The sequence below is a fragment of the Homo sapiens genome, chromosome 12 (assembly GCF_000001405.40).
Source record: "Homo sapiens chromosome 12, GRCh38.p14 Primary Assembly".
Classification (NCBI taxonomy): Eukaryota; Metazoa; Chordata; class Mammalia; order Primates; family Hominidae; genus Homo; species Homo sapiens.
This window is the reverse complement of record NC_000012.12, coordinates 117,348,175-117,369,322: the sequence shown is the minus strand read 5'-3', so window position 1 is coordinate 117,369,322 and position 21,148 is coordinate 117,348,175. Positions and strand designations below refer to the sequence as shown.

General features: G+C 49.0%; 1 protein-coding gene across 2 annotated transcripts in view, besides 8 other annotated features; it reads left to right on the top strand.

Moving 5' to 3' along the window:
• Nucleotides 5,919-8,196: a promoter, noted in NCBI's record as "2.3L promoter fragment". NCBI's record gives the evidence for it as "EXISTENCE:reporter gene assay evidence [ECO:0000049][PMID:7532307, PMID:8562455]".
• Nucleotides 5,975-5,998: a protein binding site, noted in NCBI's record as "HRE". NCBI's record gives the evidence for it as "EXISTENCE:protein binding evidence [ECO:0000024][PMID:26458913]".
• Nucleotides 6,651-6,673: a protein binding site, noted in NCBI's record as "NF-kB site". NCBI's record gives its function as "positive regulation of promoter activity" and the evidence as "EXISTENCE:protein binding evidence [ECO:0000024][PMID:17250678]".
• Nucleotides 6,651-7,572: a promoter, noted in NCBI's record as "-897 to +27 promoter". NCBI's record gives the evidence for it as "EXISTENCE:reporter gene assay evidence [ECO:0000049][PMID:17250678]".
• Nucleotides 7,424-7,484: a repeat region, noted in NCBI's record as "1f VNTR".
• Nucleotides 7,518-7,526: a TATA box. NCBI's record gives the evidence for it as "COORDINATES:motif similarity evidence [ECO:0000028][PMID:17250678]".
• Nucleotides 7,697-21,148, top strand: part of NOS1 (nitric oxide synthase 1) — a 153,485-nt gene continuing 140,033 nt past the window's right edge. For both annotated transcript variants that reach the window (NM_000620.5, NM_001204218.2), the window contains exon 1: nt 7,697-7,811. The gene's annotated coding sequence lies outside the window, so the exon portion shown is untranslated. The remainder of the gene's footprint in view (nt 7,812-21,148) is intronic.
• Nucleotides 7,739-7,811: a promoter, noted in NCBI's record as "5'2 promoter fragment +1 to +73". NCBI's record gives the evidence for it as "EXISTENCE:reporter gene assay evidence [ECO:0000049][PMID:7532307, PMID:8562455]".
• Nucleotides 8,036-8,196: a promoter, noted in NCBI's record as "5'1 promoter fragment +1 to +161". NCBI's record gives the evidence for it as "EXISTENCE:reporter gene assay evidence [ECO:0000049][PMID:7532307, PMID:8562455]".

Genomic DNA, 21,148 nt, shown 5'->3' with positions numbered 1-21,148 from the left:
ACAATCCTATGAAGTAGGGATTATCATTTTCCCCAGTTTTGCCAGATGAGAAAGCTGAGGCTCAGAAAGGGTAATTAACTTGCCTAAGATTGCACAGCTAGGAAGTAGCAAAGCCCAGGACTGACTCCAAAGCTTTCATATCACGCCCGATCATTGCACCCTCCCCTCTTCCACACAATTAGAGAAGAGTCTAAGACAGTTTGCTCGCATGTCTGTTTGAATAAATCAAATGTCAAAGCATATGAAGCTAACAGAGCTCTAGGCTGTCAGGCTGTGGAGAAGAAAATGGGTTCTCTCATTAAGGCTTTAAAACTCAGGGTGAGGCCAGCAGGATCCCTTTCCATGGTTCTGGGCAGTGTAGGCTGCAAAGCGTCAGCACACTAGCAGGCTTGGTTGTTACGGCCTATGGACTGTGAGCTCATCTGACTTCCCCATTGGCACTGAGTGCTTCATGAGCCAGAAGCCTGCCTGGGGGTCTTGGTTGCCCCAGCCCCCTGGCATAGTGCCAGGCATGTGGACCACCAGAAAGAGGGGAAAGAGAATGATTATATGTATGCTAGAAGATGCCAGGCCAATAGCTCTCAATGAAAGCTGAATGAAGAAGCCAGATACACAGACAGATTAAAAACAGAACAGCTCTGAGTGAGCTCAGAGCTCAGCTCCCCAACCTTCCCCCTTGACCTGCATGACAGGCAGACCCCAAGACACTGCTGGAGAGCCCAAGGTGGTCCTAGAACAGAGGAAGAAGCTATGCTCCAGTCTACCACTTCTTAATTTTATACATGGTGAAGTTAAGGCCCAGAGGGAGGAGGGGACTTGCCCAAGGTCACACAGCAGATGGAGGCTAGAGTCAAATAAAGAAGTCAGATACCCTGGCCCTGGTTTGGGAGCTTTCCAGAACACTTACCTCTTCCTCTTTCAACCACCTCCCCATTATCCTCCCCTAGGGACTGGTCTCAGAATTTGCCTAATTCTTAGAAATAAGTCAACCCATGTCATCTTTTTTGCACATGTCTGTGATATGGTGGGGAGGGCAGAATTGTAAGAGATCTCTGCTTTCATCTTGAGGGGATGTCACTGGTGCTGAGAAGCTCTGTCATTGAACTCCAGTTATCTGCTGAGCAAGGGTAAGGACCCAGTCCAGCACACTGGGGTGGCCTTACCAGCTCAGGGTAGCCAACTTAGAACCAGAAGACAACCTGCCTCAGTTTCCCCTGGAGAGCTTATTAAAAATACAGCCTCTTGGGTACCACCCAAGAGCTATAGACTCCCAGTCTTTGAGGGCAGGGTCAAGGAGCTGGTGTTCCCCTTCTCAGGGAATTCTTATACATCTGAGAGTTTGGGAGTCACTATTTTACATTCTGATTAAGACCTTCTTTGCCACTCAGACAGCTCCACTAACCAGGCTGAAACCCATTTCCTTGGTCAGAGCTCCTATACTAGTGGCCCAAGTGATTTAGTTGGATGGAACGCTATTTTGGAAACATCTGAATGTGAATGTCTTTAGGAGGGGCATGTGCTCCAGTTAGCCACAGGCTCCACTACTCCCTGATGTCTCCCACCCAGCCCACTTCATGTTCCCTGGAAGTATGTACATTTGCAACACCGGTTAGCACTGGCTTCTCTCTAACAGTGCCTTCAAAATGCAAATACTTTGACCAGCCCTTCATACCCCAGTGCAATTTAGACCATCAGAACTCCAGGCTTAGAGAATTTTTGCAATGTGTTGCCTTTAATTGGGGCGAGATGACCAGGGAATTCTGTAATGAGGGTGAAGGGAATAACCGAAGGACTCAATTGAGGGTATGAAGAACAAACTTAGGACTCCTCTCAATGTTTTACTTGGTCCTCTGGTGTGCTTGCAACCCCCACCCCGTTTCCTGCCTATGCCCTCACATTCTTTTTAATGCCTTCTCTATGTGGACAGATGCTGGGAACTAGGAGATGCAGACAGTTTCTGGGGTGATCCAGCATTCTCAACCCACCCAGGTCAGCCCAGCTTAGCGGGGACCTAGGTTCTGGTCCTGAAAGCTGAATATAGGAAGCCATGGACCTACCTGGCTGGTCTCCGGGAAAACAGGAAGGCTACAGCGAAGGTTTAGCGCGCCATCTGTTGGTCATTTAGGAAACTGCATCTCTGACAAACGGTCTGCATAGAGCTTCAGGCATCTGCAAATTTGCCAGCCGGCTCTCAGGCAAGAAATTGTTTTTAACCTTTCCAAGGTCTCACACCCTTTAAAAAGCCGCTGCACACTTATGAACCTTCTACCCCAGCAAAACGCACTTGCAATTGATTTTGCATATAATTCCAGGGACTTGGCCATCTTCAGGTTAAGATCTTCTGAGACCCAGAGATGCCAAGGAGTTTCCTTGAGCTCACATTGCACATTAGTGGAAGTGCCAGGTCTGGAAAGCAGGTGTTCCAGCCACAAATCTAGTGTTTTTAATGCTCAGGCTGCCTCTTTAAGCCTTAAAGTGTTCTTCCCTCTTTATTCTCTGCCAGAGTCCTGTAAATATCTGGAGGAGTCTTTGACATGCCCAGAAACTATAATGCTCCTACCTCTCCTGGGGGTTCTGGGCTCTCAGACAACCCTGTTCGCTGTTCATTTTTCCTGGGTCCTACAGAAGCATGCCCCCGGCCACTTTAGTGACACCCACTTTGCTCTTAGGAGGCTCAGACCCTGCATCCTGAACTGGGAGTTAGGACAGGAAACTGATCTGTCACTGATAGGCTGCTGCCCCTGGATGAATTGTCAAACCTTCCTGGATCTTGGCCTCCCCAGTGTAAAACGCTAGGTTGGAGGCAGCCATCTCCAAGGGCCCTTCCTTACTCTAACTGCAGAACTGACCAATGGGTGCCATCCTTCACAACAAGCAGGTCCAAATCACTTTCCCAGCCAAATACCCAGAGACAGGGTCAAAAGCATAATTCCTTTCCAGAATCAGAAGCCCTGGGTGGACGGGGCTGCTTAAGGGAGAGAGGGGACCTACGCACCATGGGAACAGGAAGGACACAGAGGAGGCACCCCATGGGTCTTCCAACACCTCCAACGGGCCAGCAAGGCAGGACAATGAGGCAGACCAAGGGGCATTTCTTGGGGATGAAGTAGTGTGGGAAATGGTAAGTGATGGATAAAGGGATGGCTTGGTAGGTTCAAGGGCATAATGCAGAGGACTAGGTATATAGTTGGTGTCTAATAAGGGAGACATTGTCATCACATAGCTGAACCCCAGCTTAATAGTAAACTCTTCTTCTACTTATTTAAACAAACATTTGTTCGGTTTTTGGTGGGAACAGAGGTTCTCAAACTTGAGCATGCATCAGAATTACCTGGCTGGCTTGTTTAAAATGCAGATTGCAGGGCCCCACCCTGAGGGTCTAATTCAGGTGGTCTGAGGTGGGGACTTGGAATCAGCATCACTAGCAAGTTCTCAGGTGATGCTGACCTCATCATTCAGGGAACACGCTTTGAGAACCACTGCCTTGGAGTGACGGATGAGACAGACCACCCTGCCCTCATGAGGGCATTGAACAAGTAAATATCACAGAACTTGTATGTTCTGAAGAGGGACATGCAGAGTGCTTGGGGCTGCTCCCAAGTGGGGGAGTTCGCGCTAAGACTTGAAGGCCGAGTAGAGCCAGCCCAGGAAGAGGGATGAAAATTTTGTGAAACACTTACTTAGAATGTGCCAGGCTCTCTCTCATATCGTTCATCTGCTCCTCCCAGTCAATGTCAGGAAGGTAGGATTAACGCCCATTTTACAGATGAGGAAGGTGAGGCTGAGAGAGAGAAATAACTGGCCCCAGAACTCATGGCAAGAAAGAAGCCCAGGTCTGTTTGTGCACAGGACACCTACCAGCAGCCACATCCCCTCTGCTGCACCCCCAGGAACCCCCTTCTTCCCAGGGGAGCTGCCACCTGGACACAGCTGCCGGACCCGGCCAGCCACACTCTGTCCATTTCCGCCCCCTGAAGCGCTTCAAGTGTTTTCACTGCTGGGTGAATTCAGCAGATGCCTTTCGATCACAGCCTATTAAATTAGCCCCTCTCTGCAGCCAAAAGAAGATAATTATGTTTTCATTAGCCCTGGATAATGTATTACCCCCTCAGTGACAGCCACGTCAGTGAGGCCAGCCTCCTCCCTTCCTCCTCCTGCCCAGGGCTCCGCCAGAGCACTCCACTCCCCTGGGGTCCACCTCTGCACTGAGGGGTGGGCACCAGTGAGGGTCCAGAGTGGCTGGGAGGCTGGGGGGGAAGGGACACCCTTTACACCCATCCACCATCCATGCAGGGGTTGAGGGGTGTGGTCCTGAGAGAAGGACCAAGAATAATTGTTATCACGGTGACCATTTATGAAGTGCCTGCCCTACGCTGATGCCTGGATGGGTCTCAGCTGGTTTGATCTTCCAATAGCTCGAGAGAAGGGTGGCACAACCCTCATCTCCCCCTGAACCCCAGAGAGGTCCTGGTGGAATCAGGTTATTGTGACAGCCCAGAGCAGCTTCCAAGGCACTACACCCAAGGGGCATTTTGGGGACTGTCCCAAGGCCACCTGGTTGATGGTAAAAGTCTCTTCCCTCCACTTGCTGGGGATCTCTGGAGACACTGTCCGTACTCATGTGGTAGGGGTCCCCAAACACCAGGAGCCACTCTCCCCAAACCCTAGACACTCCCCAGATGGCTCTGACATCCTCCCTCTCCCTCTTTCTCCACAAGACAGCGGCGAGGAGGCAGGAAAAGCTCCACTTTGGGGTCCCGAGTTCTAATATCTGCTTTACCACAGATTACCTGGGTGACCTGGAGCAAGTCACTTTGCCTCCAGAGCCTCTATTTTCTCCCTCTGTAAAATGGGAATAAGAAAGGGAGTCATTTCTTACCATTTTTATGATGGTTCAGTGAGTTATACCTATTAAATGCGTGGCTCAAAACCAGCAAAATGGGAAGTGCTCAACAGAAGATGGCCATTGTTCTCTTTACTACCGCAACTAGTGTTGTCCATAGTTCCCGTTAATCCTGGGGAAACCACCAGAGGGAGGGAAGGGAAGTATCTGGCTCTGTCTGTCACTGTCCGTCTTTCTCTGTATCTCTGTCTCTCTTTCCTGTCTCTGCCATTCTCTCTCTGCCAATCTCTCTCTCTCTCTGCCAATCTCTCTGCCAATCTACCAATCTCTCTCTGCCTCTCTCTCTTCTCTTACTCTGTCTCTCTTTTTCTCTCTGCCAATATGTCTCTCTGTGTATTTTTTCTTTCTGTCTCTGCCAATCTGTCTCTCTCTCTCTGCAAATCCCTCTGCCTCTCTCTTCTCTTACTCTCTTTCTGCCAATCTGTCTCCCTCTGTTTTCTCTGTCTTTCTCTCTGTCTCTGCCAATAAGTCTCTGTCTTCCTGTCAATCTCTCCGTCTCTCTCTTTTTCTGTGTGTTTTTTCTATCTCCGTCTCTGCCAATCTCTCTCTCTCTGCCAGTCTTTCTGTGTGTTTTTCTATCTCTGTCTCTCACTGTCTCTGCCAGTCTCTGCTGTCTCTGTCTCTCTCTTTGTCTATAAATCTCTCTGCCTCTCTCTCTTCTCTGACTCTCTCTGTTTGTGTGTGTGTGTGTGTGTCTGTCTGTCTGTCTTCGTCTCTCATCTACACACACACACAGAGGGCACCTCATGGTCCCTGGCTCCACCCGTGGGCTCTGAGGCTCTGTCTTCCCAGATCTCTGTCTCAAGAGCTACATTCTAAGGCTTTGCTTTTAATCGCACCAGGGCACCTGGAAGTGAGGAGAGAACTGAGGGGAGTGGGGTTTCTGTCCCCCTCTCCCCAAACCCAAGCCAACTCTGCCTTCTGCAGGCACAGCCAGCCTTGGCCCGACCCCACTATCTCCACCATCTCGTGGCCGTGCATCCCCTCCCAACCACCCTTCTCCCCAATTTCAAAAAAGCTTGTGCTCCCAGAGAGGAAGTGCCCCTACTCTGAGCTTCTTTTGGCCTTGACCCACACATAGGCAGACGTGGACTCTGTTTTGAGCAGGTGAACCGCCAGCCCAGTGGAAGAGCAGCTTCCCTTCCCCTAGCTTCCTGATTTTCCCCAGTTGCCATGGTAATTGAGGGAGCAGTGTTCTGAGAATGACACCACTGAAACCCAGCGCTCAACTTTGAAATGGTTCGGGCAAGGGACGCTGGACCCAAAACAGGAGGGGACCAGACTGCAAGGACTCAGCTCCAGCCTCAATTTTCTGGGACCCACCCCCCATCCAGCCTGTATGCTGGATTATTCTCATCATCATCAAAATCACCATTATTGTTGGCAACTGTTTCCTGAGCATTTACTATATGTCTAGCACCATGTCAAGGGCTTCACCAGCATCATCTCATTGTGTATATCCTCACGACATCCCCAGGCCCATCCATGGCTCAGGAAACAGGCTCTGAAACTTGCCCTTGTGGCAGCCAGGAAGTGGCAGAGCCCTGGGGCTGGTGGCATTTCTCCAGGCCTCCTTCCAGCATGTGGAAGACAGCATAGACCTCCAGGCACCCTCGTCAGCTTATTCTTTATTCCTTCCTCCCCTCCTCATCCCCCACACCCTTCTTCCTGCCCCCAAAGTCACACACCCCCTCCCCTGCTGGATGTGCAAGACGATCTGAAAAGCATTTATTAGTGACAAAGGGGGTGGTGGTTTTCCTCTTTGCCTCTTCTCTGCGCAACTCGAAGCCTGAGTGGGTTTGCTCCGCTTGGCAAGGCTGGGGAGGAGGAAAAGATCAAATCACCCAGAGCCAGGTGCCAAGTGTGTGTGTGTGTGTGTTTGTGTGTGTGTATGTGCGCGTGTGCGCGTGCGCGTGTGTGTGTCCTCTCTTTCCTTGATTTTCCCCCGTTTTCCCAAGACTGTGTGAGCAGCAGCAACAGCAACGGGGAGATGCAAAATCCTTTGCAATCTGCCCAGGAAAAGACAGATTTTGAGTCGGGTTTATATGGTTACCCATATGTTAGGGCCCCTAAGAAAGGAAGGGAAGCTGCGTTCTCTGTGTCTTCCCTCCTCCAGCCCAGACCTTGGCCTCTCCACACCTGTGGGGCTCCCAGGCCACAGATGAACATGTGCCCTCCATCCTTCACTCTCCCCAGATGCCAGGCCTGAGTGTGGCTCCAGAAAAGACCAGAACCAGGCAACATTTCCTGAACAGGCTGCTTTTCTCCGTCTGTCCACCCGAGAGCCAAGGCCAGAACCCAGGCTGCAACCTCTGCGGGCTCCTGGGAGGGGCTCCCAGCACTGCCCAGCCTGGGAGGCTGTGTGTTCCACTGTCCCATTAAGGAATGCTATCCCAACACTGATGTAGAGGCAGAAATAACCATCCCTGCCTCCCATGGGGCCTTCTCTGCCCAAATAGACCTGCCCTGCCCTGCGTGGCTACTACATTCAGCCCTATCCAGGCTCCCAGAAATTGTCATTGTGTGTGTGTGTGTGTGTGTGTGTGTGTGTGTATGTGTGTGTGTGTGTGTGTGTGTGTGTTTCCTGATAGAAAAAAAAAAATGGAAATTAGGTTATATAAAAGATGTATGCTTTGGAGCCCAGAGCGGCTCTTTTAATGAGGGTTGCGACGTCTCCCTCCCCACACCCATAAACCAGTCGGGTTGGACGTCACTGCTAATTCGTTTCAGTGATGATAGGATAAAGGAGGGACATTAAGAAATAAATTCCCCCTCACGACCCTCGCTGAGCTCACGGCTCAGTCCCTACATATTTATGCCGCGTTTCCAGCCGCTGGGTGAGGAGCTACTTAGCGCCGCGGCTCCTCCGAGGGGCGGCCGGGCAGCGAGCAGCGGCCGAGCGGACGGGGTGAGCCAGGGGCGCGCGCGGGGCGCCCAGCACTGCGCCGGGGAAGCCCGCAGCCTCCGTCCCGAACTTGGGTTCGCTGAGGCTGAGGGAGGGGACGCAAGGGGAGGGAAGAAGAGAAGGGAGGAGTGGGGGCTAGGGGAGAGGGGGTGGGGAGGGATCTTGGAGGCACAAAGCGGAGGGGAAGGGGAGGGACGCGCGCGGCTCCTACCAGGAGGCGAGTGGGTGCAACCGGCGCCCTCCAGCCGCGCGGGGCGGCGGACTCGGAGGATTCAGAACCCGGAGCGCGGCGGCCGCGGGCGCCCGGGAGGAAGAGGAGGAGTACGAGGCGGGCGGGCGGGTGCGCAGCGCGAAGAGGCAGCCTCGGCGCTGCCCGGCTCGGCGTCAGGTGAGTTCCTGATCCAGGCGTCCCGCGCCCCTTCTCCGTCCCCAGGGCTCCCCGCTCCCGCCCGAGCCCCTGGTGTGCGCGGAAGGCTCGGGCTTTGCTGCGCGTCCCAACTTGGTTCGGGCGGCCTCATTTTCCTCCTAGCGGGCGGCCTCAGGCCGGGGGCTCCGGTCCGGGGGTCTACGCGCCCAGGCTCCAACTTTGCAAGACCCTAGTCGTTCCTCAGCCGCGCGCTTGGCTCCGAGCTGTGCGCTGGCGGTAATGGCGGAGCCCTTGGCACAGCTCGCTACCCTCCCGCGGGCAGCCCGGGCTGGGGGATGCCAGTCCCTGGGGACCGTTGTACCTGCCCAAGCTCAACTTTACGCCTTCCTCGGTGCCCGACTCTGCGGCCGAATCGCAACTGCGAGCCGCAGGTAATGGCGGAGTCTTTGGCACTGCCAGCTGTCCGCGGCTGGGGGCCCGAGGCTGGGAGGGCTCCGCTCCCGGAACATCGCTCCGGCCTGGCCTCCAACTTTGCGAGGAGCCTCCTTGCGCTCTCCTCCCGCGGTCATGGCGGGGCCGCCCGCACCTCTCACTTCTTCCGTCTGGGCGAGATTGGGGTGTAAGAGCGCCGTCTCCAAAACCTGGGAAAGTTGTGCTTCTCCCGCAAAGGAGGCTCTAGGGAGGCCGAGGGGCGCGTTCCGCCACGGTTCGGGGCTGGGCAGTGGAAGGAGCGCTCGATGAGGTTGCTTCCAGGTGGCCAGGGTTCGGAGCAGGGTCCCCGGGGGATCCAACTTCCAGGGCCACTCAGGGGCCTTGCGTCCGAGGTCCCGGAAGGGGCTCTCTCGGGACTGCGCCCCAGAGGACGCCAGACGCTCGCCCCCACCCCCAGGGCACTGTGACCAGAGAGCTCATGGCTCTCCAAGCTCCGCATCAGGCTGTCTGGGGTAGACATCTAGAGAGGAGAGGCTCTCACGGAGAAGGCAGCCGAGGAGGGCAGGAACCTTTCCAGTGACTCCCCTGGGTTCTGGTCCTAGATCGACCCTTTACTTGTTGCGTGACCTTCGGTAAGTCTCTTCATCTTTCCCAGCCTCAGTTTCTCATCTGTAAAATGGAGAAACTACCTTTTTCGTGGGGCTGTCATGAGGACCTTAAAAAATCATAAATGTGAATATGAAGTCAGGGTAAGCGTTCATAACGCAGGAAGTGTTGCTGATATATATATATATATATATATATATATATATATATATATATATATATATATATATATAAAACCATTATTGTAATGCTCTGGGACCGGATCTGGGAGACTCGCACGCAGGTCTAGGGTTTCCCCACCAGTAGGAACCGGGGGGTCTACCCCACAGGGTACTACAGGCTGCGGAAGATTGCTCTCGCCTCCATCTCTACCCCAGTAATCCTGGGAAAGACGCATGGGATTCTTCCCTCTACTCCCATAGCCCAGCTCAAACCCTGCGCTCAGGCCTAAGAAAAGCGCGCACGCAGCCACCACGGAGGGAGGGTCCCCAGGGACGCCGCTAGGCAAGGGTGCGGTGCAGGCGAGCGCGCCCATAGGCGCCTCATCTCACCTCTGGCGGCCCACGACATTGGGAGACAGCAGAAAGGAGACCCCAGACCTCTCCTCCCGAGAGGAATGAGGGAAAATTGCTGCCTTTCTTTAGTGCTTCTCTAATTGGGGTCGGGGCAAACGCAAGAAATTCGTAAACACCAGGGAACACTGACGCAGCTCTCTGGAGCATAGATTTTTTCCCCCGTTATTTTTTCAGAACTGAAGATAAAATAGGAAAAGGGCTCTTGTGGCAGCTCCCCAAGTGCGCAGGGGTCGCGTCCATTCTCCGCCCTCAAGGCATCTCAGCGGATGGTTTGAGAAGCCTCGGCAGGTCCCTGAAGGAGGGGGTGTCCGCCCCACCAGCACCGCCACGGCGGGCCCCGGCCCCTTTCCACTAGTCTGGATTTCAGAAGCGCCCTGAGGGGCGCACGGCTCTGCCACTGACAGCTCCAAGGCACTGTCACACGTATTATTCACCTGGAGCCTCTTAACTTTCAGGTTGCCAGTGCAGCCATCTGAATTCCATTTTGCAGCTGCGGAAATTGAGGTGGGGCAAACCAAACTACCTAGCCATAGTCACCTAGCTGGTAAGTGGCACTACCCGAGACCTCAACCCCAATTTTCGGCTTCTTAATTGGGGCATTTTGCATGCATCTGGGCATCTACGCAGTCTGGCATGTGCCTGAACCTTAGCACACACAGCTGTATTTCCTGATACATCTGTTCAGCCAGAGGCCAACGCTATGGTCAGGGGCATGGCTTTGTCTCCACAAATTGTGTGATTTTTTTCCCCAAAGTCCCAAATCATGTAGAGAAAGAGTGAGCAGTGTGGTAGAGAGACCTGGTGAAGACCTCAGCTTGAGGCCAAGCTTAGCTCACTCCATGGCTGTGTGACCTCAGGTTGATCACTTAACCTTTCTGAGCTTCAGTTCTGTTATCTGTAAAATGAGAACAGTAACTCCCACACGGGGCTGTTTTGAAGACTCTGTGATGATGTATGTGAAAGGGGTTCTGGAAACAATGCTGGTATGCCAAGACTGGTGATTGTAAGGAAGGAAGGGAACCCGAAACAGAGGGAAGAGTGTCCCATGGAGCCATTTGGGGCCAATAGTGTCATCGTGGCTTTCAGAGCAGCCCGCTTTTTGCCCTTTCTGTCTCCTCTTTATATTTCCCAAATGGCCAAAGCCAGTCCCCAGGAGCCTCCATCTTCCTTGGGGAAGGACCGCACGGAGAAGAGTGAGAGGGCGGGGGTATTGTGATGGGTTAGGCTGCTCCCAGTGGGTCTCTGTGAGTAAGATGCAAAGAGTTGTCCGAGGTACCATTCAGTCAGTTGTCCAGAAACTTCCCCACTGGGGGGCCGCTGATTTCCCAGGAGGCAGGAAGATTTGGAGGTCAATTCGCCTGCATATTGTGAGCACAGACAGGTTTGGCTGTGCCTGTTGCGCTCACAATCTGCAGATGTTTTGGGGTGTCTTATGACAAGACTTCATGTGTTGCCTGTCACTCAGGTTCTGTGGGTCTGTGCGGGGCTTGGAATGTGGTTAAGAGCCACAGGCAACAATCCGTGCTCGTGAGAACTGGGGCTTTTTCCCATTAGAAACTGGAATTTGTGGAAGTTGAATTTGGCATTTCAGGACCCATTTTAATCTGGATTGTTTGAACAGAGGGGCATGTTTCCTGCCATGGATCAGTGTGGGTTTGTGTAGTTAACACCACATAGGTTACAGACATGACCATTTTCCTCGTTCTAATATATGATAACATTTAAACATCATCTAATCCAGCGAACGCCAAACATCAGCCCAGTGGACCTTTAGTGTCAGAATACAGCAAGTCCCTGGTTAAAAGCAAAGATGCCAGACCCCACCCTAAATCTACCGAATCAGCATTCCTGGGGGAGACTGGAAATATCTCTATTTTTAACAAGGTTGCTCCAGGAGATTCTAATACTCTCAGTTCTTGTCTGTCACCCTCGTTGTACAAATTGGGAAACTGAGGCCCAGAAGAGGCATGTGACTCGATGAAAGTCACACAGCACATTACTGCCAAAGCTGGGATAGAACCTCAGTGTCTTGACTTATTGTCCAATCCTCATCGATGATAACTTCATGTTTCCTTCAGTACAAGCCCCGTAAATGCCGGACTTTAAAGAAATTTAATTTCATCTTTCTGGTTGTTATTCTAAATTAGACCAACTGCTCAGAGGAGACTGAAAATAATTCCTCCCACCTTGACCTTGCTGGGTGTCAGCCCTGAGTTCCCATCTAATCTTGGACATTAGCCCCACTATTTGATCTCTCCCTTTCAGAGGGAAGGGGCTTCGACCTCCTGGGCTCAAATGATCATCTCTCCTCAGCCTCCCGAGTAGCTGGGACTACAGGCCTGTGCCACCACACCAGGCTAATTTTTGTATTTTTTGTAGAGACGGGGTTTTGTCATGCTGCCCAGGCCAGACTCAAACTCCTGGGCTCAAGCCATCTGCCTGCCTTGGCCTCCTTAAGTCCTGGGATTGCAGGTGTGAGCCACCACGCCAGGCCTAGAAAAATTCCTTTTATAAGTGACCTATCAGGTATAACTTCTGCAAAGAAGTAATCACAGAGCTAATAAACCCAGTTTAACTACCACTGATTTCACCAAAGCCATTGGTTTGAGTTCATTTCCACAGCCCATCGGCCTTCCACTCAGCCTTTGCAAGTGTGTTTATGTTGCTCACATGCCCATTCTTAAGGTGGAAGAATGATGAGCAGCACCTGGCAATGCTGGAAAATTGAGCCCATTCGAATCTTTTAAATGAAAATGACGTGTCAACAGAAAGTGCCCCTAAGTCTCTAATTCAAGTATGGTTAACAGGGTATAGTGGACATGGGTCTTGGCACAGTCGTATGATGCTAAGGATGAACAGCAGTTATCGTGGGCTGTTCGGCAGCAGACGTCAGCACATTTATTGTATGTGTCATGACACGTGTTAAATGGCAAGGCCAGTGCTAGACCCCAAGGGCAGGTGCCCAGATAAAGGTGGTGTGAGCCCCATTCTAATGAAACCTGTAGTCTGGCTAAGCGGTGAGCACCAGACAAACCCTGTACCTGGCGTGAAGTTTCTGCAAGAGAGGTGGAGGTGAGGTGCTGTGGTAGGACCCAGGACAGGTGGTTGAAGGAATCAGGGAGGACTTCTCAGAGGAGGTAGCATCAAAGCCCATAGCCTGATTTGTGGCACCCTCTCAGGGTTGGGGTCCCCAGTGCCAAACTGGGCCAGCAGCAGCCAGGTTGAAAGGGAGGGCCTCACACTGAGAATCATCTTAGGAAACGTCAGAGGCCAGCTTGGGCACTTGTGGATTCTGTGACTCAGAGTGAGAGAATTAACATCTCTGACTCTCCAGCATGTCATTCATACAGCAGAGATTATAAGTACTACAGGGAGTTGTTAGGAGGATTTAATGGGATAGTGTGTGTGTTTAACTCTGGAAAGGAAACAGCATCCAGCCCATCTCAGTGATCATAACAAAGAAAAGAAATTTTAAAAAGAGCCAGCCAGACACAGTGGCTCACGCCTGTAATCCCAACACTTTGGGAGACTGAGGCAGGAGGATTGTTTGAGCTCAGCGTTTGAGCCCAGCCTGGGAAACAGAGTGAGACTCCATCTCTACAAAAAAATTAGCCAGGTGTGGTGGCGTGCACCTGTGGTCCCAGCTGCTCAGCAGGCTGAGGTGGGAGGATAGCTTGAGCCCAGGATGCGGAGGTTGCAGTGAGCCGAGATTGTGCCGCTGCACTCCATCCTGGGTAACAGAGCCAGAACCTGTCTCGAAAATACATAAATTAATTCATTAATTAATTTTTTTAAATAAAAAAGAGTTAGCCAGTTGGTGTAGTCTGAGCCCCTTTCTCTTGCTCAGCCTCTGTTTTCTTATCTGTGAAATGGAGTTGGAACTAAAGGGCATCTCCCTTCAGAGACCTGCAGATATGTTCTGTTAGTCTGGCAGAGGGCTTTTTTTTGTTCTCTGTTTGTTTGGATTGGGGGCATTGTTTTGTTGGGTTTTGTTTGGAGAGTATTTTTTTTCCTTTAGGTCACCAGCCTCACCATTCAATATTGTTTAATTTGCTTGTCCGGGCCCTTCGAGGCATTTTAGTTTACAACCCCAGGACGCACTTCCCACAAAGACCTTTTCAGCTTTAACATCTTCTGCCTTACCTGAGAGCAACATTGGCCCAATTATCATCCATCAATTGCATTTATGATTTCTGCTGACATTTCCTAAGAGAAAGGTGGCCCTATTCAGGTGGAAAATACAGAAGTCCTTTGCAAGGGGCAAAGTTCCCATTTCCAGCCTGGGCATTTCCCACCTCTTATTTGTATGTCCTGTTACCTACTAAGACTGGGATTTCCTGGGAATGATGAGCCTTTTCTTTTTGACCATCCAAGATGCTTTGGGAGCCTACAGATTTTCAGAGGTGCCCTGAAAAGCATTTCAGCTTCTGCTGGGAACATTTGCCCACTGGCATTAAATAATACTCGAGAATCTCTTCTTTATTCAAAACCTGACAGCTAAATTTTGCTACCATGAGGATTAAAAAGGTGAGCCTTTCTGAAACCCATTTCCAGTTGGAAATGAAGAAGGAATATTGTGAATTCAAAAAGCTTACGCAACTTCAGATAGTATCCGTGTACAACCGTCGTTTCCCAGCTAAAGCATTTCTTGTCATAAACGAGAGTGAAGTTAACCACTTCTTCATTTAACAAACACAACCTGAGCTCCCAGCTCTGTGCCAGTCCCCACAAGAGAGGCTTCCTCATAAAGAAAGGGAAGACAGAGTCCCTACCCTCAAGGTAGCTCATGGTGTCCAAAACAGGCATCCACTCACCAATAACTAGATGTAGTGAGGTAAATGATGTGGGCAGTCCATCCTATTTAGTCACTAAAACAGCCACATGGATCACATTGGGCTCTATGTCATTTCCAGGAATTTTCAGCATAAAAAAAAAGTAACCTCCGGGGATAAATCAGAATAGTACTCGATAGCAACTGACATATTTTGGGCATATTTTTCTCTTTAATTTTTTTGAAGCAGTATCTCAGCTCTGGAATACTCAGTAAGAAAAATGAAAGCCAGTTATGTTCATGTGCCAGAAAACAGGTAATGAACACAGTCAATAGCATCGATGTGCTTGTTTGTTATAAGTCTTAGCTGGCAATACCTTCAGTTATCATTTTGCTTCTAATATCATGGTAGTCACTGAAATGGAATCTCTTTCTTTCTCCCAAAGCATGGTATAAAATAATGGGACTGGGTGGGTTTCTTGGCTTGATATTTTTATTGATTTTGATGATTTTTGTAACAAACATGCCAAACTCATATACGTAGATAAATATTTTCGCTTCCAGCTGCCGGCAAGGTGTAGGATTTCTTGAGGGTCCCTTCTTCAAGACTTGCCTTCAGAAAGCATGATATCTCTTTCTGAATCTCCCTACTAGTGATATCTTATTGGGCTTTTGAGGATGCAGTTGAATTTCAGAAACAGCAAGAAGTCATTGAGAGCCACATATTTTTTTGGCTAAAATGGGTGATGACCTTGGATGAAATGCAGAGATTTGGTTTTTGTTTGTTTGTTTCATTGGTTTTTTCATTGTTGTTTTGTTTTGCTTTTGTAGAGGTGGATTCTCACCATGTTGCCCAGGCTGGTCTTGAACTCCTGGGCTCAAATGATCCTCCTGCCTCAGCGTCCCAAAGTGCTGGGATTACAGGCCTGAGCCCAGCCCAAAATGTGGAGATTTAGTTTTCGTTTAGAGGAGGGCTATTTTAAAAAAACAATATGGTGTGATCAGGATTCCCTATCTGGTTCAAAACTGACATCTAAGTCAAGCATTGTGCCCCATGTACTTCATCTTGTGACTCTGATGATGGGAACCAGCCTACATGATGCTAAAACCCTTCCTTCGCAAGAACCCTTGACACCTATTTCTGGGAAACAGCTTGTCTGCTTCTCTCTCCTAACCAACAGGGATGAGACTTATGACTTGAATTGTCATTGTTTAGAAAACAACCTTAACTGAGTATTTGGGGAAGTTGTGCAAGTACAGTATATAGTTAATTTTCTTAGGTGTAATAATGGTACTGTGGGTTTTGTGGGAGTCTGTCTCTACGCTGAAGATAAGTGTGCTTAAGAATTTAGAGCTGAGACATCATGATTCTGCAACTTGTTCTAAAATGGTTCATTGTGAAGATAGGTAAGTAGGTAGGTAGATAATAGATGGAGAGGTAGGTAGGTAGATAGATGATAGATAGACAGATAGATAGATAATAGCTAGAGGATAGAATAGGTAGGTAGATAGATGATTGATAGATGGGTAGATAGATAGATGAATAGATAGATAACAGATGATAGGTAGGTAGATAGATTGGTAGGTAGATAGATGGATAGACAGATGATAGGTATATAGGTAGGTAGATAGATAGGTACATGAATGGATGGATGGATAGATAGCTAGGTAGGTAGATAGGTAAGTAGGTAGATAGGTAGGTAGGTGGGTGGATGGATGGATGGATGGATAGATGGATGGATGGATGGATAGATAGATGACTGATAGAGAAAGACAAGTAGGTAGATATGAAAATGCTAATAGCTGTTGAATTAAGTTGAAAGTTTATGGGTGTTTTTACACCATTCTTTTACATTTTCTGTTTAAATACTTTATCATAAAGTTGGGAGGCAAGAATGGCTTTCAACTTTCCTCCATGTTAAATTTTTCCAAGTTTCTTTGGAGAATAATATTTAGCCTTCTCGTTTCTATCCCCTCACCTCCCACACACGAATACATGTGCACATGCATATACGCACACTCATGAACACACACATCTCTCTCTCTCTCCCTCTTTTTTCCTGGAAGAAATAATCCTGCAGTTTAGCAGAATGTCACTGTTTTTCATGGCAGTTTCTCTTTACATTTTTCCCTCAGCATTTTAATTAGGGCTGTGAGTCACCATGCTTTATGAAGGCTGGTGACAATGTCATTTACGGCTGTTTAGCATCCCAATCGAGCCCTCTTTGGCGGTGCTCATTACATCAGGGGCATTGAGCAGTGAGCAGGCGACAGTTCCCTCTGTCAGCAACAGAACAGGCTCAGGGCCTCTTGAGGGACTGAGAAATGAGCTTGAGGTTTGTTCCTGGAATAGCTTCCAAAGTTGGTTTTTCCGTGGCTGGCGGTATAGCCCAGGCGTGCCTGAATGCACTTGAGCTTGAGAGGGTTGTGCAGAACTGAAGCTCTGACCTCCTTCTCAGTGATAGCAAGCTTTCCCCCAGGCCCACGCCTCTTGCCTCCAGAGTGTTCAGTGCCATGACATCGGCTCTTGAACACTGTATTATGTATGCATGTATGTATGTATGTATGTATGTATGTATGTATGTATTTCTGAGACAGCGTCTTACTCTGTCACCCAGGCTGGAGTGCAGTGGCGTGATGATGGCTCACTGCAACCTCAACTTTCCTGGCTCAGGTGATCCTCCCACCTCAGCCTCCTGAGTAGCTGGGACTACAGGTGTGCACCACCACACCTGGCTAATTTTTTGTAGCGACGGGGTCTCACCATGTTGCCCAAGGTGGTTTCAAGTTCCTGGGCTCAAGCATTCCACCCACCTGGGCCTCCCAAAATGCTGGGATTACAGGCGTAAGCCACCATGCTCAGCAGGTTCTTGAACACTTTAGACCCCTCTGGATGATGGAGAAGAGGCAGGATTCTGAAGCCCATCAAAGCTGGGTTCAAATCCAACCACTGCCATTTATTCACTCTGTAACCTTGGCAAGTTATTTAATCTCTCTGTAAATCTCATTTTCCTCTTCTGTAAACACAGGAATAATTCTACTTCACTGCATTATTGAGACCATTAAATGCTTGGCACATGCAGCTACTCCATCAGTTTCTTGGCAAGGTTGAGGTTGGTGATTAGGATGACTTGGCTTAGACATGTCATGCCCTTGACTATCCAGGTTCCTTCTGATATTCCTCATCCCTCCTCCCAAGGGGCAATGGAGGTGAAGATTTGTCAGTCAGGGTCTAAGCAGGAAACAGAAGGCACCTGCAGCTGGGATTTCCAAGTAATTTAATTAAGGAGCAGCTTATGGACACAGGTTAAGGCACCAACAAAGGGGTGCTTAAGTACTCAGGGACTAGCAACCAGGGCAGCAGTTGCCACTCCAGGCCTGAAGGAGCAGGGGGAAGCGACAGTGTTACCGAAGCCCTTTGGGTGGTGGAATGGAGTGGGGGTGCTGGCGAAGGGAAGGGTCCCTGTAGAAGCTATACTCAGAAGGGAATGCAGACCCTGCCAGACTACAGCACTAAGAGAGGGAGAGAGCAGAGAAAGAAATACCCTGGCTTCTCGGCTTCTCCCTCATCTCCTGTCTCCACATCCCATTGGCCAAACCCAATCAGATGCCAGAGGGCAAGAGACTTTTTTTTTTCTTCTTCTTCTTTTGAGACGGAGTCTTGCTCTGTCGCCCAGGCTGGAGTGCAGTGGCGCGATCTCGGCTCACTGCAAGCTCCGCCTCCCGGGTTCACGCCATTCTCCTGCATCAGCCTCCTGGGTAGCTGGGACTACAGGCGCCCGCCAACAGGCCCGGCTAATTTTTTTGTATTTTTAGTAGAGACGGGGTTTCACCGTGTTAGCCAGTATGGTCCCCATCTCCTGACCTCGTGATCCGCCCGCCTCGGCCTCCCAAAGGGCTGGGATTACAGGCTTGAGCCACCGCACCCGGCCAAGAGACCTTTTGATGTCCATAGAGGTCAGCCTCTTCGGGAGCCCAGATAAGTTTGGAGAATGAATCTGGGGGCAAAGGATGACAACTAGCACAGATGGGGGGAAAGAGGAAGAGTTCACCAATAATGGTGAGTAAGACCAATCCCAGTTCATCAGCTCTGAGCAAAAAGAAGTTTCCCTGAGTTGGGACATCCTGGAATGTCTCCATTTTGCTTCCTGGATCCAGGACATGCTGGTGTGTCTTCAGTTTTCTGTAGGGTCCTTATGAAATCCTTAAAATAAATCAGGCATTTGCTTTCATTTCAAACACACAAGGTACTTTGAGAAAATGGGAGTGGGTACTATAAAATCAAGTGAACAGTTCCAGGGCATTGCAACTTAGCCTGCAAATTGTAGGGTGGAGTCCTAAATAAAGCACCCAGTTAATTGAGGAGGTGTGACTCATTGAATAATCTGTTGAAATAGCTTTGGTGTGCAGTCAACAGGTAACTAGTAAGTGCCTGTTGAATGCCCACTCTGCATTGTCCGTGAGCACGTCACACATCGTCCCATGGCAATGGCGTGCTGTGCCCTGCTAGCCAGGAATGCAAGTCTTATCAAAGCACAAAAGGTTCATAGATTTCAAAGCAAGGTTTTCTAATGATAGCATCTCAGGAATCCTGAGATTTTACTGCTGACTTCCAAGGAGAGTTGTAGATTAAACTTGGAGAAACTTTCTTGGTGGAAATGACAATGATACTGTAGAAAAAAACTCTGAAGTGGGAGCTGAGAGTCTGTGTGTCTCTGGCAGTAATAATAACACCAGCCGGCCAGGCATGGTGGCTCACACCTGTAAACCCAGCACTTTGGGAGGTTGAGGAGGGAGGATTGCTTGAGCTCAGGAGTTCAAGACCAGCCTAAGCAATGTAGCAAGACCCCAATCTCTACAAAAAAAATAAAAAATTAACCAAGTGTGGTGGCTCGTGCCTGTAGTCCCAGCTATTCAGAAGGCTGAGGCAGGGGTATCCTTGAGCCCAGGAGTTCGAGACTGCAGTTAGCTATGATCACACCACTGCACTCCAGCCTGGGCAACACAACAAGACCCAGTCTCAAAATAATGAATAATAACACCAGCCAATGTTCTTCATGTACTTGCTACAGACTAGGTACCATGCTAAGCCCTGGGCCTGTATAAGCACAGGTTTCCAAAATATGGTGGATACTCCACTGGTGGGACCCATTTTTTATTGTTTTATTTCATTGAGGTAAAATTCATGTAATATAAAATTAACCATTTTAGAGTAGCATTTGTGTTGTGTGATCATTGCCTCTATCTAGTTCCAAAACATCTCCATTACCCCACAAGGGAACCTTGTACTTCTTAAGAATTGAAAAGAAGTATTCAAACAAAAACTTTCCCATGTGTGTTCATAGCACTATTCACGATAGCCAAAGGGTGGAAACAACCCAGATGTCTGTCAATGGACGAGTGGATAAACTAAAAGTGGCTTATCCATCTATCTAATGGAATATTACTCAGCCACTAAAAGAAATGAAGTGCTGATCTATGCTGTAACATGGATGAACCTCAAAAGCGTGATGCTGAGTGAAAGAAGCCAGACTCAAAAAGCCTCATCTTGTAGGATTTCATTTATATGCAGTATCCAGAATAGACAAATCCACGGAGGCAGAAAGCAGATTAGTGGTTGCCAGGGGGCGAGGAGAAGGGAAAAGGAACAACCACTTTACTGATACTCATTTTTTGAAAAACTTTTATTTTGAAGTAATTTTAGATTCACGGAAAAGTTGCAATATGGTACAACGAGTTTCTTTATACCCTGACCTAGTTTCCCCAATGTTAATATCGTACATAACCATAATCTAATTATCAAGAACAGAAGATTGACAATGGCATGATATTAACTAAACGACAGACCCTATTCGAATTGCACCACTTTCTCCGCTACTGTGCTGTTTCGGTTCCAGGATCCCACATTGCTTTCGGCGCTGATTTCTCTCTGCCTCCTCTGATCTGTGACAGTTTGTCAGTCTTTCCTTGTCTCCCACGGGCTTGACACCTTTGAAGATGACTGGTCAGTTACAGTGCCACTTTGTGTGAATTTGTTCCATGTGTTTTCATGATTAGATCAAGGAGCCATTTTTTAAAAAATTTACTCATTAAATATTTGTTTTGATAGATCATAGAAAAAAGCAGTTAGCAAATTTATACGACGATTTCGTGGATATTAGCTTTTAGGATGAGGCTATAGTATCTAAGATAGAAAGTGAGTTCATTGTAAGGGAAAATATTAAATAAATAATTGCATAGGTGAGACACAGGTATGGTGCAAAGATATGATGTTGGTAAGAGCAGCATGGGAAACATGACGTTACTTCATGGAATCTTCACAAGAGTCTTGCAAAGTAGATTCAGGACTATTGTTTTTTGCCATTTTATAGATGAAGAAACGGAGGCACCAAGATGCTGAAGCCCTTGACCGAGTCACGTGTCAGTAAATGACAGAATCAGGATTTGAATCCCATGCCTGTGATCCTGAACCATGACATTCCCCTTTAACCCTTCCTTCCAACCTCTGCGACATCAGCTTATAGACTGTTGAAGGTGACACCGTTCTCTTCTGTGATTTTTATTTCAGGGGTTATTTGCAGAGCTCTGT